At 47.4% G+C, this 17,773-nt stretch overlaps 1 protein-coding gene and 1 pseudogene across 1 annotated transcript in view, besides 2 other annotated features; one reads left to right on the top strand and one right to left on the bottom strand.

The window, feature by feature from the left end:
• ARHGAP40 (Rho GTPase activating protein 40) overlaps positions 1 to 14,807 on the bottom strand; it is a 48,845-nt gene extending 34,038 nt beyond the window's left edge. Inside the window, exon 1 of the mRNA NM_001164431.3 lies at positions 14,537 to 14,807. Within this exon, the coding sequence (NP_001157903.2) occupies positions 14,537 to 14,673 (137 nt within the window). The 5' untranslated portion in view covers positions 14,674 to 14,807. The remainder of the gene's footprint in view (positions 1 to 14,536) is intronic.
• On the top strand, positions 1,084 to 2,245 carry LOC391247 (GINS complex subunit 2 (Psf2 homolog) pseudogene; annotated as a pseudogene).
• Positions 7,833 to 8,333: an enhancer, noted in NCBI's record as "H3K27ac hESC enhancer chr20:37236926-37237426 (GRCh37/hg19 assembly coordinates)". NCBI's record gives its function as "activates a minimal SCP1, AML or CMV promoter by ChIP-STARR-seq in naive H9 embryonic stem cells {active_cell/tissue: H9 hESC(naive)}" and the evidence as "EXISTENCE:reporter gene assay evidence [ECO:0000049][PMID:30033119]".
• Positions 15,685 to 16,226: an enhancer, noted in NCBI's record as "H3K27ac-H3K4me1 hESC enhancer chr20:37229033-37229574 (GRCh37/hg19 assembly coordinates)". NCBI's record gives its function as "activates a minimal SCP1, AML or CMV promoter by ChIP-STARR-seq in naive H9 embryonic stem cells {active_cell/tissue: H9 hESC(naive)}" and the evidence as "EXISTENCE:reporter gene assay evidence [ECO:0000049][PMID:30033119]".

The raw sequence follows: 17,773 nt of genomic DNA, 5'->3' as shown, positions 1-17,773 counted from the left end.
AAATGGCAGAACTGCATTTGGCCCCAGGAAGTCTGGCTCTGTAGTCCATGTTCTCAACCACTGTGTAATAAGCCGCTTGTACAACGGTCTTTCCTCAATTGTGAATGTTTTCTTTTCTTTCACTGGCTGGATGCAGCCTGTGGTTGGTGAGGGAATACCACCAGCCCAGATGTAGCCCCAGCTCTGCCTCTGATCAGCTGAGCTCTTATCCCTATCACCTGAGCCACAGAGTTCCTGGACTCTTTTGAACGTATCTCTTGTCCCATAATTGTTGTTGGGTAATGATATGTTGTGGAGCAATGAATTGAGATTGTCCCCAGTGGGGAAGGCTGGAAGAGCAACAGCCGCTGTTGGGCAGTGCCAAGCTTTACTTTGCTGAGCAGGGAATCTGGGGGAAGGTGAGAAGCTTGGGGTGAAGGGAAAGGAGGGAGAGAGGTGGGTGAGAGAGCTAGCCACCATCAGGGAGTGGCTGTGTGGGATGCCATGTGCCTTTGGCTCTGGGCAAGCCCAGGTATGCAATGTGCCTGGGTGGTGGGGTGGCCCTCTCACACCGCTATCAACACCATGAGAAGAGCCGTCCCTGGACAGCTGCCGCCTGGGTCCCAGAATGAACACCTATGGCACAGACCACAGCCCAGTAAGCAGGGAGGAGTAAGTTCAGCCAGACCCATGGCTAGAAATGGAGCTGCCCAGCAGAGCCTAGGGTAGAGCAACTAATCCCCAGCCACCTTCAGACACAGGAGCGGGAGTACACAATCGTCGCTTAGGGAAATGATTGCTGCTGGGTTTGGGGATCATTTGTCACACAGTGATAGCTGACAGGGACAGCACGCTATCGCACAACCCCAGCAGCTCTGCCAGAGGTGCGGTGAGCCCACTCTCTGCCACTCACACCATTCCCAGGTGCCAGGTGCACACGCCACTGGCTGTGTGCACGCTCCATGTTCCACCCTATCTCCAACCCCCAGATAAAGAGACACATCCGGTTCTGAGTCAGGAATCAATAAAGGATAGAAATTGGACCTCTTAGAGCAGAGATTGAAAGGCAATCTCGGGGAAAACAGTGGCTGCGGCACCTCCTCCGGGACACTGAAGGGCCCAAGGAGACTGTGAGGCCCGAGCTGGCCACTCGCGCCGCCATGGACGTGGCCGAGGTCGAGTTCCTGGCTGAGAAGGAGCTGGTTACCATTATCCCCAACTTCAGTCTGGACAAGAGCTACCTCATTGGGGTGGGTACCTGGGGCCTTTTAACCCTGGTTTACCAGTGGAAGTACCCCCGTGGCTGGCAATTAACCTGAAACAAAAGCAGAAATGTCGACTGCTCCCTCCGGAGTGGATGAACATAGAAAAGTTGGAGAAGATGAGGGATCATGAATGAAAGGAAGAAACTTTTTTACCTCAATGCCCACCAGCCTTTACTACATGGAACTTACCAAGCTCCCATTAAATCATGCTTCAGACAACATCCCGAAGGCAGACGAAATCCGGACCCTGGTCAAGGATATATGGGACACTCGTATAGCCAAACTCCGAGTGTCTGCTGACAGCTTTGTGAGGCAACAGGAGGCACATGCCAAGCCGGATAACTTGACCTTGATGGAGATCAACCCCAGCGGGACTTTCCTCACACAAGCGCTCAACCACACGTACAAACTCGCACAAACCTCCAGCCTTCGGAGAGTACTCAGTCTCAGGACTTCTAGAGAAAGGCCTGGTGCAGGCAGCTTGCTGGGGGATGTGACGCTCAGGACGTGATGAGGTACTCATGGTTCTGGAGCTCTAGAGACACTTTTGAATGCATGAAAAACGTGCGATGGTGCAAGGAATGGATTCATGACATTGTTGGAGAAGCAACAAGTTTGTGGCTAGTCCTTAAAACTTAGCTCCCTGGGACATTCTTCAATTCCACATCTACTTCTAGAAATCAGCCTTCTCTGCCCCCTCTTTTGAGAAAGAAAAAAGCTTTAGGCAAATAAGTTATTGTCCCTAGCAGAGCCGCTTGGGTCTCCTGCATGGAAACCGTCACCTTGGGTAAGTGTTCAGTGACTGGTAGGTGTAGATATAGCAGGAGTGGCCATGTGGCCAATGGTTTTTTTTCCCCCTTCTTGATCCTGATTTCTTGGGCTAAATTTAGACGCTCCTATAGAGATGGGTCACAGAGAAGGATGGTAGATGGTGCAGCTAATGATGCTGACCAGTGCTTATGCTCTAAGCCCCGATCCACAATAAAAATGGACCCAACTCAAAAAAAAAGAAAGAAAGAAAGAAAGGCAATCTCAGGGCACAGCCATGTGTGTATGGGTACGCCAGGGAATCGTGGGTGCACAGTCACTCATGAATGTGTACATAGCCATGTGTGCCTATGAAGAGGGTCTCTCCTCTGTTGCCTCAGGACTTGCCAGGAGGTCTGGATTCTTCATGCCTACCCATATCACTCACATAACTTAGTACATGATGACTACGTAAATGGTGCCCCTCTGAGTGTAACACTCACATGCAGTGCACAACCTGAACATCGGGACACAGCAACACTCACATCTACGAAGCAACCCCTGTGGCAACAGGGTTGGGATGGGTGGGAATGAGATGTTATAAAAGGTAAATCTTACCTTTACATTTTTGAGTATCATCTTAACTGAGCTCCTAAAATCCCTCTATGGCTACAACTTTCCCATTAAGACAAAGAAGACTGGCTCATTCTGGACAGTGTGACCATTCTTTGAATTATTAAACGATGCTCGCCATATCTCTTTCACACAGCATTTCTGCTAGAGCCGATCTGTGGGTTATGAAAGTCACAAGCATGGCTATTTTGTGTTATAGACAACAAGAATAAAACATTCTGAAATGTAATTAATATAATTTAGCTTCCTGAATCACACAGGAGCCTGGGCTGAGAGACAGGGAAGGCACAGCTATGGGTGCCCCCTTTAGCTGTTCAAGTTGGGCACAAATCAGAACAGAGGACCCACGCTGGGCCCAAGAAGCTGCATCCTAGGTGTGGAGACCTGGCCCAGAGACCTTCTCCAGGGCAGGGTGCTTCTCCACCCTGCCCATGGGCTGGAATCTCCCAGTAAGCTTTGCCAGGCCATTATGCCCAAGCAATGCCCCAGCCAGACCAATGACACCCAAACTGCTGGGAATGGGACCTGGGCACCTATTGTTGATTCCATTGTGCAACCAGGGTTGGAAAGCCAGGAGTATCATTATGTTGCTGGGGTTCAGAGAATTGCATAGGTTTCAAGAGTTGGGTGGGAACTGATGGATTGCATCAGAATTCTCACATAGCACTCTGGGAGGGGCAGCCTGCATTTTTTAGATGGATGGGGGAGATTAAGGTACTGCCCATGACCTCTGAGACGACAAATATTCCCAACAGAAGATCAGGATCTACCAATCTCCATCTGAGATAGCAAACTGCATCCCCCCACCACGTCCCCAACACACACAATGGATTTTCACACCTTTTAAATAGCTTGCCATCATTTGAAAATGAGGAGGTCTCACATTTTTAAGTCCTCTAATTTCCAATTTCCCTTGGGAAAAAATAATCAGTAGAGATGATAATCCTGGGTCTGTGTCTCTAAGTGACAATTGGCTGAAGCCAAGTGGTGGCTGCCTCTTAAAACAGGCCTCCAGCCAGCAGCGCAGCCCTGTGGTGCTTGCCAGAGAAGCTTCGAAAGTCCTTAAGTTGTGTAGGCTTTCCCTGATCCTTCCTTCGAACAAGATTATAGACATTTGTGTGTCCCTTCCTGAGTCACTTAGATTGTCATCTTGATTTGTACTGGCCAATATTGTAGCCACTAGCCACCTGAGCCCTTGAAATATGGTATTTAGTATGAATGAGGAGCTGAATTTTTAACTCCTTCCTTCCTTCCTTCTTTCTTTTCTTTTCTTTCCTTTCCTTTTCTTTTCTTATCTCTTTTCTTTTCTTTTCTTTCATTTTCAGACAGAATCCCACTCTTTCGCCCAGGTTGGAGTGCAGTGGTGCAATCTCAGCTCACAGAAACCTCTGCCTCTTGGGTTTAAGCGATTCTTCTGCCTCAGCCTCCCGGCTGGAATTACAGGCACCTTCCACCATGCCCAGCTAATTTTTGTATTTTTAGTACAGACAGGGTTTCTCCACGTTGGCCAGGCTGGTCTCAAGCTCCCAACCTCAAGTGATCTGCCCTCCTCAGCCTCCCAAAGTGCTGGGATTACAGGTGTGAGCCACCGTGCCCAGCCAACTTTATTTAATTTTAACCAATTTAAATTTAAAACTACATACTTGTTTCAGTTACTGGAAAAGGCCTAAATATGTTTAGAACAACTTGGGTACACAAATCTACTTTTCTGGCTGTATATTTTATGAAATCTAAATATATATTAAGGATTTCTGATGAAAATTTAGCATCCTATCAGAGATTGCTGGAAATGAAAAATACACACTGGATTTTGAAGACTTCATATTTGAAAATGTAAAATATCTCATTAATGTTTCATATTGATTACATGTGAAAATATTCTGGACATATTGGGTTACATAAAATGTTGTTTTTATTAAAATAACATTAAGTATTAATGTTGTTAATTTGATCATATTAGAAGTTTTAGACCAGGCACAGTGGCTCATGCCTGTAGTCCCAGCGTTTTGGGAGGCTGAGGCAGGAGGATCATCTGAGCCCAGGAGTTGGAAATCAGCCTGGGCAACACAGCAAGACCCTATCCCTACAAAAAAAAAATTACAAAAATTAGCCGGGTGTGGCCAGGCACGGTGGCTCGTGCCTGTAATCCCAGCACTTTGGGAGGCCGAGGTGGGAGGATCACGGGGTCAGGAGATCGAGATCATCCTGGCTAACACAGTGAAACCCTATCTCTACTAAAAACACACAAAAAAATTAGCTGGGCATGGTGGCGGGCGCCTGTAGTCCCAGCTACTTGGGAGGCTGAGGCAGGAGAATGGCGTGAACCCGGGAGCTTGCAGAGAGCCAAGATGGTGCCACTGCACTCCAGCCTGGGCGACAGAGCAAGACTCCGTCTGAAAAAAAAAAATTAGCCAAGTGTGGTTGTGCATAACTGGAGTCCCAGCCGTTCAGGAGGCGTGGGCAGGAGGATTGCTTGAGCCCAGGAGTTTGAGGTTGCAGTGAGCTATGATTGTGTTACTGCACTCCAGCTTGGGTAAAAGAGTGAGACCCTGTTTCTAAAAAAAAAAAAAAAAAAAAAGTTTTAAATAGGCTTAGTGCCCTCCATAAACCAAAAATAAAATCCTAAGCCCCCCAGCCAATTGAACAGATCCACTCTCTTGGCCAAGAGAATCGCAGGGAAACCTGCAAAACTGAATTCGTAGCCATGATGGGTTGGGAAGTTGGACACACCTCATTATACGCTCCTCCCTTTTGTAGTTTAGGCACAGCATCTGACCAGCATTAATGTTAAAATAGACATCACAATGGCCAGGCATGGTGGCTCACGCCTTGCCTCCACTTTGGGAGGCTGAGGCAGGTGAATCACTTGAGACCAGGAGTTCGAGACTAGCCTGGCCAACATGGTGAAACCCCATCTCTACTAAAAATACAAAAATTATCCAGGTGTGGTGGTGGGTGCCTGTAATCCCAGCTACTCGGAAGGCTGAGGCAGGAGAATCGCTTAAACCCCGGAGGTGGAGGTTGCAGTGAGCTGAGATTTTGCCACTGCACTCCAGCCTGGGTGACAGAGCAAGACTCTGTCAAAAAAAAAAAAAAGAAAAAAAAAAAGAAAAGACATCACAAGATTGACAAAACAGACTTTTTGTGACAATAAGATAACCAATTATAAACAGGACCTATGGCTGTGCCAGACAAAGGTGAACTCACACACCCCTACGAGCAACTCTGAACTGGTATATTGGTTAACAGACTTCCTTCTCTTAAACATTCCTTTCTGCTGACTCCAAATTTTTAGACGAAGCTTCACTCCTCTAACCAATTGCAAATTAAAGAATCTGAATCCACGTATAATCTGTAAGCCCCGGCTTCAAGATATGCCGCCTTTTCCAGCCAAACCATTATACAGCTTCTATGCTTTGAGTTATGTCTTTGCCTATAACTCCTGTCTCCCCTAAAATGCATAAAACCAAACTGTAATCTGACTGCCATGGAGACACCTTCTCAGACCTCTTGAGACTGTGTTCCCCAGGCCAGGGTCTCTTACATTGGCTCAGAATAAACCTTAAAATATATTACAGAGCTTGGTTTTCCCATTCACACCTTGGTTCCACAATCCTCACCATGCCCTGAGATGTTACACTCTGCCACGTGACTCCCTGAGGGTCCCACTTAACCCTTGTAGGCACCAGAGTTTACAACTCCTGGTCTATAACATCTTCCTAGCTGGTTTGGGGTAGGGGGGTGGCACAGTGGGGGGAGCTTTTTAAAATCTTATGTAAGTTGTGGATCCTCTCTCCGGAGAACCACACACACACACAGAGATGCATAACATTTACCAAATAATTTTAGTGGTTCTCGGATCTTTGAAGGTCCATCCTTGAGCCCCAGATTAAGAACATCTGGTCTTTAAAGCCTTCAAAAAAGACCAGCAGGAAGAGCATCAGGCTGGTTGCCATGGTTACACCTCCTCTTAGGCTGGCCTAGGGGTGAGGCATGGCCTCATTATCCCTGTCTTTGCTGCACATCTTCACAGGGAGGTCCTCATTGCTCACTCTTCCATTACGCACTCAAGGGCTTAAGAGCCAGATTGTCATCCTACCTTCAGGTCTCCTGGCCCTGGGGTTGCAGCCGGGCTCAGGGCTTGAAAGCAAACTGCAATCCCATCTCTCCTCTGCCCCACTCTCTGCTCCAGCCAGTGTGAGCTACGTGTACCTCTCAGAGGCACCAGGCTCCCTCTTGCCCTGGAGTTTTGCCCAGTTGGCAGCTACTGCCAGGAACACCCTTCTCCTTCCCATCCTTGGCCTGCTCAGTGCCTACTTTGGGACTCAGCTCAGGCATCACCTCCTCCAGGAAGCCTTCTCTGCAGCCCTCCTAGAGGCGTTGGGCTCATTGATGTCCTGGCACTTACCGCCCTCCATGGTCATTGCCTGTTTGTTTTCTCCTTTAGTCTGGGATCTCTTTGAGACCAGAGACATTCTTTTTATTATTGTATAAGCCCAGCTCCCAAAACAGAGCAGATATTGATAAATATTTGAAGGATTAATAAACTTAACCCAGTGGTTCTCAAAGTGTGGGCCCCAGACCTTCAGTATCAGCATCAGTTGGGAGCCTGTTAGGAGTGCACATTTTCAGCCCTCGCCTCAGAACTACAGAATTAGAAACTCTGGGGGTGGGGTGCAGCAATCTGTGTTTGCACAAGCCTTCCAGGTGACTCCAAGGCACTGATCTAAGCCCCAGGTTGGAGGGAGGCAGGATGACTCCTGAGGGTGGAGGCAGGGGACTGAAGTTTGGAAAAGCAATATGGAAGGGTGACTGCGGGTAGGCAGAATAACCCCCCCACTACCCACTACTCCCTGGAATCTGTAAATGTGTGTGTTACATGGCAAAGGTGGGATGAAGGTTGCAGATGGAATTACAGTTGCTAATCAGCTGATTTTGGGGAGATTATTCTGGGTTGCCTGAGTGGGCCCAATGAAACCACTAAGGTCCTTAAATGGGGAAGAGGGAGGCAGAAGAGTGAAAACCAGAGAGATGGTAGCATGAGAAGGACTCAGCCGGCCACTCTTGCCTTTGCAGATGCAGGTGGACCGCAACTTAAGGAAGGCAGGTGGCTTCTTGAAGCTAGAAAATTGATTGTCCCCGAGAGCCTCCAGAAAGGATCACAGTCCTACCGACACCTTGATTTTTAGACCAGTAAGACCCATTTTGGACTTCTGACCTCCAGAACTCTAAGATAATACCTTTGTATTGTTTCAGCCACTAAATTTGTGGCCCTTTTTCACCGCCCCAACGGCCCAAATTAGGGCCACTAAATTTGTGGCCCTAAGTCACCTTAGCCACTATAGTGGCTAAGGACCAAGGCCCTGAAGTCACACTGTCTGGGCCTAGGTCTGTCCTCTTGATGTGCGGCCTATAAAATCAGGGTGATTGTGTGATAGTATACAGAAGGCAGTGAGGATGAAATAAAGTAAGGCCTGTAAAACATTCAGCCCATAGTAAGTACTCCAAAAACATGAAAACACAAGGCTGCCTTCCGACCAACGAGCAGCCAGCAGCCAACAGTCCTCTTAAGATGGGGCAAACAGCCCGAGGGGACAGAGTAGTAACTAGAGAACAAAAGGGGGAGTGGGCTGAGAAGAGGCTTCCTGGAGGAGGTGGTGTTGAAACTCAGTTTTAAAGAAACAAGTCAGTGAATGTCTGGGAGGAAATGAGATATGCAAATCTCCCAGGAAGGGGAGCAGGTCTTTATGCTGGGAAGTGCAAAGTTTTCCCTGGGTGGATAGAAGTCTGTATTAGGGTTTAATGAGAACAAAGTCAGTAAGAAATAAATGGTAGTGCAGAACAACTCTCCAAACAAATTAAAATCCAGAAGCCATAACAGAAGAAAGCTGAGTTGATTACATCAAGACTTAAAACTTTTGTATGACAAAAGACACTATAAAAAATGTCATAGGACCTTTTTCCTCAACTGAGAGGAAATATCTGCAACAAATGATAAAGTGTTACTATTCAGTCTATATATATAAAGAGTTCCTGGAAAGCAACAAGAAAAAAAATACCCAAAAAATCTACTGGGAAAGTTGGCAGCAGATAGAAATCCACAAGTCACAGGAGATAAAATGCAAATGCCCTATGTGAAAAGATGTGGAGCCTCGCAAGTAATCAGGGCAATGCGAAATAAAACAAGGATGAACTCTATCAGATTGGCAAACACAGAAAAGATTGCCAACACTCAGTACTGGCAAGTATCGAGAAAAGACCTTCTCACACTTGGATGAGCATCTGCTGGTCAATTTGGGAAGAGTCGGTGACGCCTGACAGGAGGGGAGGTGGAGAAGCGGCCTCCACATTGCAGGCAGGGTGAGGACCCCAGGGTTGTGAAGGGCGGCAGCCTAACTGCTTGGTGTAATTAACACCTTCACCTCTGCTTCATTGTGAGAAAAGAGGGAAAATAGGAAGCTCCATCCGAAGGGACCTGCCCTTCGCTGGTTTGTAAGCAGGATCTGAGGAGGCCCCTCCTGCTGGAGAGCCCTGGAGGAAAGTGGTTTGCAAGGACTTTTTCCTGCAAAGCTGGTCAGAAGCCCCCAGCGGCAGCCTGGTCCCCTGAGCTGCGGATCTGAGGTGGCCGTTCCGGGTTTCGAACCAGGAGGATGTGTGAGTGTGAACGGCAGCCACTATCTGAATGGCACTGATTCCACAAATGAAGGATCAGGCCCAGAGAAATGAAGGAACTTTCCCAATGATGAGTGGAGGATTTAGGACTCAAATGCAAATTTTTCTGCTATGCCAAGGAGTCAGGAGTCCCGAATGTACTTGTCCCATGAAAACAAGCCTGTGCTATTTGGAGTCAGCTCCAAGAACTTGCCCTTTGACCACTGATATCTGACACAAATTGTCCCATTTCTAAATGGTGGGCACTGTACTAAGCCCTCACATGCATTAATGTCATTTTATCCTCACAACAAGTCTATGAAGCAGGTACCGCTGTTCACAACCATTTTACAGAAAAGGAACCAAGGCTCAGAAAGGTTAAGTAACTTCCCCAGAGGTCCACAGCTGATAAGTGGTGAAGCTGGGCTTTCAGATTCAGGCTGTCCTTCTACCCCTGACATATTTAAACCATGTGTAGGTGATTTATTCAGTGGTTGCGTTCACATACAAGGGGGTGTGTCTGGAGAGATCAGTTGACATTGACCCCAGTGGCAGAGACTTGAGCTACACATGAGCAAAATATGAGTGAAGGTGAACCTTGTAAAGGTGATTGATTCTACAAGCTATCTGTGTGCAATCAGCCAAGTCATTTAACCCATTATTGATTAAGGAAATCTGGCTGGTGCACTAGACTCAAAATGGGTCTTTCTGCCTCTCTGATCTGCCTTTGAACTCTGCCAGACACTGAGCATGTGAAAAGATGCTCAGCCTCACTAATAATAATAAAAAGGGCAAATTAAAACAAGAGACAGGTTTCTCCCAATCCAATTAGCCAAGACTAAAAATGAACAATAATGTCTGGTCAAGAATGTCATGTATATTAGGAAACAAGCTCACACCCACTTGGTGAGTCTAATTGGGTACAACCTTCCTGGAAAACCACCCAGAATATGTTTCAGAATTTTAAATGTATACACCTTTGGACTCCATGATTCCTATTCTGAAAATGTATCATAAGTACACAAAGATATATGTCCAAGAACATTGCAGTATAGTTTATAATAGCAACCAAAAGAGAAAAAGAAGCAACCTAAAATTCCATCAACAGGAGGCTAGTTAACAAAAGTACTGTCCAGTCATAAAATGAAACATCACACAGTCTTTAAAGAGGATAACGTAAGGGCAGGTGTGGTGGCACATGCCTGTAGTCCCACCTACTTGGGAGGCTGAGGCAGGAGGATTGCTTGAGTCCAGGAGTTTGAGACAAGCCTGAGCAACATAGGGAGACCCTGTCTCTACAAAAATGAAAAAAATAGCTAGGCGTGGTGGTGCATGCCTGTGGTCCCAGGATCACTTGAGCCTGGGAGGTTGAGGCTGCAGTGATTCCACCACTGCACTCCAGCCTCAGCCTGGTCAATAGAGCAAGACTCTGTCTCCAAAAGAAAAAAAAAGAATAATGTTGATTTCTATGTCTTTCCAGGAAAAGATATTATAAAGATGGAAATGTCATTTATAAAATAGTATACATAATACAAACCAATTCACGTATGTAAGTACAATTATGTGCATGGATTGGATCATAGATACATTTTACGTATACATGTATGTAAATATTTATGAAGCACAAAATCCTATAGGATGTACACTTAACTTCTCACAATTGCTGTTCTTGTGGGTTGGAGGTGGGAGGGGCAGGTGGATTTCACTTGCTACTTTTTTTGCATTTTTATACCAATCATGAATTAACAGAAAATATATTTCTACAGGGAGCAAGGATAAGGGGAATCCCAACAGAGTCACCTCACTCCAACTGGGTCTTTGAGGCACCTCCCAAGGCCAATATTGCATGGTTTTAAGATGAAGTCCACATAGACAGTGAATTCGGTGTCCCCCTCACATTATGGGATGTTCTGTTTGATGACAACATTGACTCTATTCATCCCTGCTCAGGCCTTTCAGGTCAGCATTTAGTGTATTATGTGGTAGTGACCAGTGTTATGTCTTCCTCCTGGACCAGCCTGTGGACATCTTAAGGGCTGAGAGAGCATCTTATTCATGCCCACACCCTCATATCCATCACAGGACTTCATGTAGAGGCAGTGAGCATTTCATTCATCAGGGAAATATTTCATGAACACCTACAACAAGCCAGCCCTGTGCCAGTGCTGGAGAGCTGTGGGTAAACAGAACAGATCCGGGCTTACATCCTGAAGGTTGCCGTCCTGCTGGAATTTGTTGAATAACTAAATGACTCACAAGCAAGGGACCAGTGAGATGAACAGACTCAAAGGATTGGGGGAGCTGACCTAGTGACCTTGTGAGCCAATACACAAGAACATTAGCCTGGAGCAAACAGACCAACCTTGTTCCAGGGAAGTAGTTTTCGCTTTTTTTTTTTTCTTTGGCAGTGGAATGTCTTCTCAATAAACAAAAGAGGTAACGGTGATATTATTATAAGCTGATTTTATAAGTTTAATTTAAAGCATTTACTGATCATACAATCAAGATAATTTTAGTTGACAAAAAACATTTGGGATACCTGAGTGGAGGTAGTATTTTTACTAGATGTTTAATACTTGAAAGATATAATAAAAATTAAATTCAAATAAAATGTTTGCAGAACCCTGGTTTAAAAACCACTGTTCTGGGCCAGGCGCATTGGCTCACGCTTGTAATCCCAGCACTTTGGGAGGCTAAGGCGGGTGGATCATGAGCTCAGGAGTTCGAGACCAGCCTGACCAACATGATGAAACCCCATCTCTACTGAAAATACAAAAATTAGCCAGGCGTGGTGGCGCACGCCTGTAATCCTAGCTACTCAAGAGGCTAAGGCAGGAGAATCACTTGAACCCGGGAGGCGGAGGTTGCAGTGAGCCGAGATCGTGCCATTGTACTCCAGCCTGGGCAACGGAGTGAGACTCCATCTCAAAAAAAAAAAAAAAACACCACTGTTCTGGAAGTAAAAATGTTGCTTTTGTTGTTTTGTTTTCAGTAATAAACAGAATGGTTCAAATTTTAAACTCTCTTAAGTATTTTTCATCTGTTCATTCAACCAGTAGCTATTAAGCACATTCAATGGGTCACGAGCTCTTATAGTGAATTCAATATTAATTGCCTCAAAGATCACAAGGAACCAGGAGATTAAGGGAGGGTGGTGGTGGAGTCAGGGGAACAGCCATAATAGGTAGGTAGATAGGTAGATAGATGGATGGACGGACGACGCATGGTTGGATAGATGGTGTGATCAGCTGAATAACAGCTCCCCAAGATGTCCACATCCTAATCCTCAGTATTTGTGAATATATGTTATCAGGCAAAGGGACTCTGCATATGTGATTAAGCTAAGGATCTTGAGTTGGGGGGACGATCCTGGATTAGCCAGTGGGCCCAATGTCATCACAAGGATCCTTATCAATGAAAGAGGGAGGCAGGAGAGTCAGAGAAGGAGACATGGGGATGACTGTGGAGGTCAGAGTCAGAGAGATGTGTGAAGATGTTACAGAGCTGCCTTTGAAGACGGAAGAGGACCATCAGCCAAGGAATGTGGGCAGCTGCAGAAGCTGGAAAAGGCAAGGAAACAGATTGCTAGAGCCCCCAGACAGAATGCACCCCTACAGACTCCTCGATTTGGGGATTTCCAGCATTCAGAACTGTCAGATAACACATTTGTGTCGTTTTAAGCTACTAAGTTTATGTGATTTGTTATAGCAGCAATAGAAAACTAATATAAATGAGAGAGAGAGACAGAGAGAGAGATGATAGATAAGCTTATGTGATTTGTTATAGCAGCAATAGGAAACATAGATAGATGAATAGATAGATGGATAGATAGATTAGATACAGAATAGATAGATAGATGGATAGATTAGATATAGAATAGATAGATAGATAGATAGATAGATAGATAGATAGATAGATAGATAGATAGATAGACAGATAAACAAACTTGTCTTTGGCTTCTTAAAATTGATTCTTATTAAAATCCTATCCTGAGTAATTTTTGCCTGTGATGGGGCAGAGCCCCACGCACATAGGAGCTCAGCGAACATGCTGTATGAATGAAATGGTCTCACTAAGCTCCCCCTCCCTTTCCTGAGCCTAGAAGTTGTTCCCTTAAGGGAATTCTAGGACTCAGTTGTCCTACGATCAGGATCACCTGCTCCCTGAATCTGCTTTCTGAGTACAGACCACGTCTAGTCTTCAGGTCCTTGGGTGGCAAATGAATGGGGCAATGGGGGTCTCCTGCTGCAGGTGTGTTCCAAGCTAGAACACTTTTGGAGGGCAGGGTCTATTCAGATTCTAACATTCCTTTTAAACTTGCAACTACAAGTCTAGGATGTGAATTTTACCCATGCAAGTCCCCAGAGATGTTCATTGCTGTATTGCTTAGAATCGTTAAAAATTGGAACCAACCTAAATGTCCATTAGCCAGGAACTGATTCAAATTAACCAAAGATATCCATAAAGTTGGATCCTGGCAGGCCACTAAAGTGAATGAATTGGATCTTTATGTTACTGACATGTAAATATGTCCATAACATTAATTGAGGGGTTGCAGGGGAAAACCTTACAAGCACATGTAACACAAGAGCCTATTTGTGTAAAACTATACAAGTTTAGGTTTACATATGTCAAAAAGTTCTCCCAAGGTATATGTCAAAACTTTAACAGTAGTAAGTTTTCAAGAATGAACATATGTATTCCTGTACAGTATTCCTGCACTGTTTGACTTTCTATAATAATCAAATTGTAATATGATGTAATCAGAGTGGGGGAAATGACTATTTGAAAATTCTGGTCTGGCTGTCAGTGGCAGGCTGAGCAGGAATAAGGGGTGACCAGTTCTCAGCCGAGGTGACCACACGGCCACACTGACCCAGAAACTTGACCCAGAGACTCCTGAATCTTGAGCCCCTGGGCCCCCTAAGACTCTACACCCAGAGGAAGAGGAAATGGCACATACTGGCGTCACTCACGGTCTCTAAGAATCTGAAAATCAGTGACCCCTGCAGGAGGCCAGTAGCCTGAACCCAGGGCAATGCTGTGTCCCAGGAAGGCTCTGGGTTTGGAGTCCCATGGACTAGGGCTAAAAGCCATCTCCACCACTTGACAGCCAGGTGACCGGGCTCTCCAAGCCTCTGTTTCCTCATCTGTACGATGGAGGAAGATTCTTGCCTCACAGGGATGTTGTGAAGACAGACCGCACATGCCCCTGGTGCATAGTAGGGCCAACTTCCCTCCCGCTCCCGTGACCCCTGTACCTGCAGCCCAGGTCGGCCCAGCGCTGGGCGCAGCGCCTGGCAATGCGGGCCCGCGGGATCCGAGGACACGGTGAGGCTAGGGGCCCTGGGGCCAGCCTCTCCATCTGGGCGGCGGGGAGGAGGGCAGGCTCGGCCATGGGCTGGCACCTCGAGGATCCCGGTCGGTCGTGGTGCTGCCGCCGTGGGGCTGACTCGATCGGCAATGTGAGAGGGAGGAGTGAGGTAGGGCCCCCGTGGCGCACCCAGTTCCCAGACACCCTCATGCAGGACTAATGTTCAGCCTCCTCCTGGGGCGGGGCTGGCTTGGCCGGGGCCACCTACAGGCAGGCACTCGCCGCACACACACACACCACTGAGTCCCACCCGCCTGCACTGGAACTGCGAGGTGGAAACGGCGCCTTTCAAAAACTGTCATGAAATATGATTTGCATGGCCACTATTATTACCTACAGCCATCCCGATTTCAGAGTAAAACCACATGAATAAAGCACCTGGCTACTATGGGTGGAAGAACGTGCTCACGACCCAGGGGTTTTTATCTGGCTGGGCTATTCCCTCTGAGGCTTCTCTGAGCCTCGGTTTCCTCCTCTGTGAAATGGGGATGGTGACATTTGCCAGGAGACAGGAAAAAAGCAAGCAGGAAGATGTCAGGGTGTAAAGAGAGCAGGACCTGGGCACGGGGGCGGGAGGATAGGAAGGGAGCAGGAAATGGGAGTGGCAAAGTGAGGGGGCGTCCGGAGAGCCTCCCGGGATTGGTCTTTTGGCTGGGATGTAAAGGAGGAGGAACTAGCTGGGGAAAGGCTGGGTAAGGGGAAAACCCAGGGAATTTAACCCCCTCTTCTGTAAAATGAGAACTCATTCATTCACTTAGCAAATCTTTATGGAGCTCTGTAGGGGCCCTGGGGGAAGGCGACCAGAGTGTCTGAAAGCAAAGAGCAGGAGAGTGTGGACTCAGCTGAGAGGAGAGCAGAGGCTGAGTGTCAGGGTGGGGAGTGGGAAGGGGTTTCCAGGTGCCAACAAGGACACAAGCCAAGGTGTTGCAGTAGGGCATTTGGGGAACGTATGAGAAGCGCTCCTGCCAGCTTCCCTGGCGGTGTCCTATTCCCTGCATCCATTTTGGACCATGAGCCCCTTCTCTTGCCCTCTGGCCAGGACTGAATGCCATAGACTTCCCCAGATTGCCCGGGCCCGCCCTGCCCTCCTCTAAGCCTCCGGGTGTCAGTGAATCTTTCCAGGAAGCATATTCACCTGTACTCCAAGAAGAGAGGCCCCAGAGTCCTCATCAAGGAGGGCCCCCAAGTCTATGGGTCCCCACAGTCTGAAGCTCTGTTCTGGCCTTAGGGAGGCAAGAAATGGGCCCCAAGAAACTGAAAACAGGGCCCCACGGGAGCCATAGAGCCCAGGAGCATGCATGGTTCTGGCATTAAAGACGGGAAAGGCCTCGCAACACAAAGGGTCCTGAAAAACCCCAAGTTTCAGGTGGCTGTCACTGGCTGGAACCTGCAGACCAGGGCTGTGCAGAAGACCACCCATCCACTTCTCCTGAGCCTCCTCCTGAGGAGGAGACAAGGGAACCATGCCACTGTGAGGCCAAGGAGCTGGGGTCCAATATGTAGGTGAATTGTCAGCCGAAGTGGGTGCAGAACTACTTTGGGAGCCATAGGGAGTTTTGGGTGGGAAACATGGTAGGTGCTTAATAAAGGTTGGGTGGATGGATGGATAGATGGATGCATAGATAGATGGAAGAAAGAATGAAAGATTGGTTGGGAAAATGGGGGATGAGAGAAGGGATGAATGGGAAGGCAATTGAATAAGAGGTTGATGGTTGGTTTGATGGGTGGATGGATGGATGGATGGATGGATGGATGGATGGGTAGGTGGATGGGTAGGTGGAAGAGTGAATGGCTGTGGGCATGAATATGTGAGAGCATGAGTGAATGAATGAATCAGTGAGCCATTAGGTGAATGGGGGGAAGAGTAAATGAGTGAATGAATGAATAAATGCTTGAGTGAGTAAACAAGTTAGTACCTGGGTAAATGAACTTCTAGTCCAGACTGAAAACATAGTTCATTGTTACCTTCCTTAGGTGCAAGGAACCTTTCAGAAGAAAGCAGGAAGGAAGAGAGAGTGGCCTGAATCTTGGATGACCACACTTTCAAGCCTCTGTAAGGAAGTGCCCTCTTCGCTTCCGGGAGAGCCGCGCGTATACTCAGAATGAAGCCTGGAGAAGTGAGTGTACCCACGCTCAGGGCAACATTCCTCACCCCCGGCTGAGCCCTGTCCCAGCCCCCCACCTGCAGTATCGGCCAGGCCGGTTAGGTCACAGTGGAGTGGCTCAGACCTGTTGGCCCTGCACCCTGGCAGCTCGCCAGCACCTCCCCAGGCAGCCTGCCATCAGCTAGGCCTCTCACTATCGCAGAGACTCATTCCAGGTCCCTCAGACCCAGAAAGCCCCCCAGGGCCTGTGTGCTGTGTGCTCAGCATTTCCTCCCTGGCTTTCTGCCCCTCCAAGCAGCCCCCACTCCACACTACAGCACAGTCCTATGTAGTGTGATGAGGTGGAGCCTCATAGGCTTCAGGCTGATCCTCAGCTCTGCCACTTAGGCTGTGTGACTTCAGGCAAATGCCTTAACCTCTCTCAGTCACAGCTTCCACATCATTTAAATGAAAACCTTGCCTGGCTTGAGGGGTGGTTGTGAGGATTTGGTGGGATAATACACATCAAGCACTTAAATGGGGCCTGGCACACAATGTACATAGAGCATCTAATTTCCAGGTGCTCAGCTTCTTCCTTTTTCTTTTCTGAGACTGGCTCTCACTGTATCACCCAGGCTGGTGTGCAGTGGTGTGATCACAGCTCACTGCAGCCTTGACCTCCTAGGCTCAAGCGATCCTCCAGCCTCAGTCTCTGGATGGAGCTAGGATTTACTAGGCGTGTGCCACCACACTCAGCCATTTTTATTTATTGTTTTGTAGAGACAGGGGTCTCACTATGTTGCCCAGGCTGGTCTCAAACTCCTGGCTTCAAGTGATGCTTCCACCTCCGCTTCCTAAAGTGCTGGGATTACAGGCATGAGCTACCATGCCCAGCCAATTTTTTCTTTCAAAAGTAATTTATGGAATGAAGTGCCAGCCAAGCACTGTGATCACAGCTTTACATGCATTACCACATTCAATCCTCATGATAAACTCTCAAGAGAGTGTTATGGGTTCAAGTGTCCTACCAAAAACATATG

This window comes from Homo sapiens, chromosome 20 (assembly GCF_000001405.40).
Source record: "Homo sapiens chromosome 20, GRCh38.p14 Primary Assembly".
NCBI lineage: Eukaryota > Metazoa > Chordata > Mammalia > Primates > Hominidae > Homo > Homo sapiens.
Note: the sequence above shows the minus strand (reverse complement) of the source record. Positions and strands in the feature narration are given on the sequence as shown.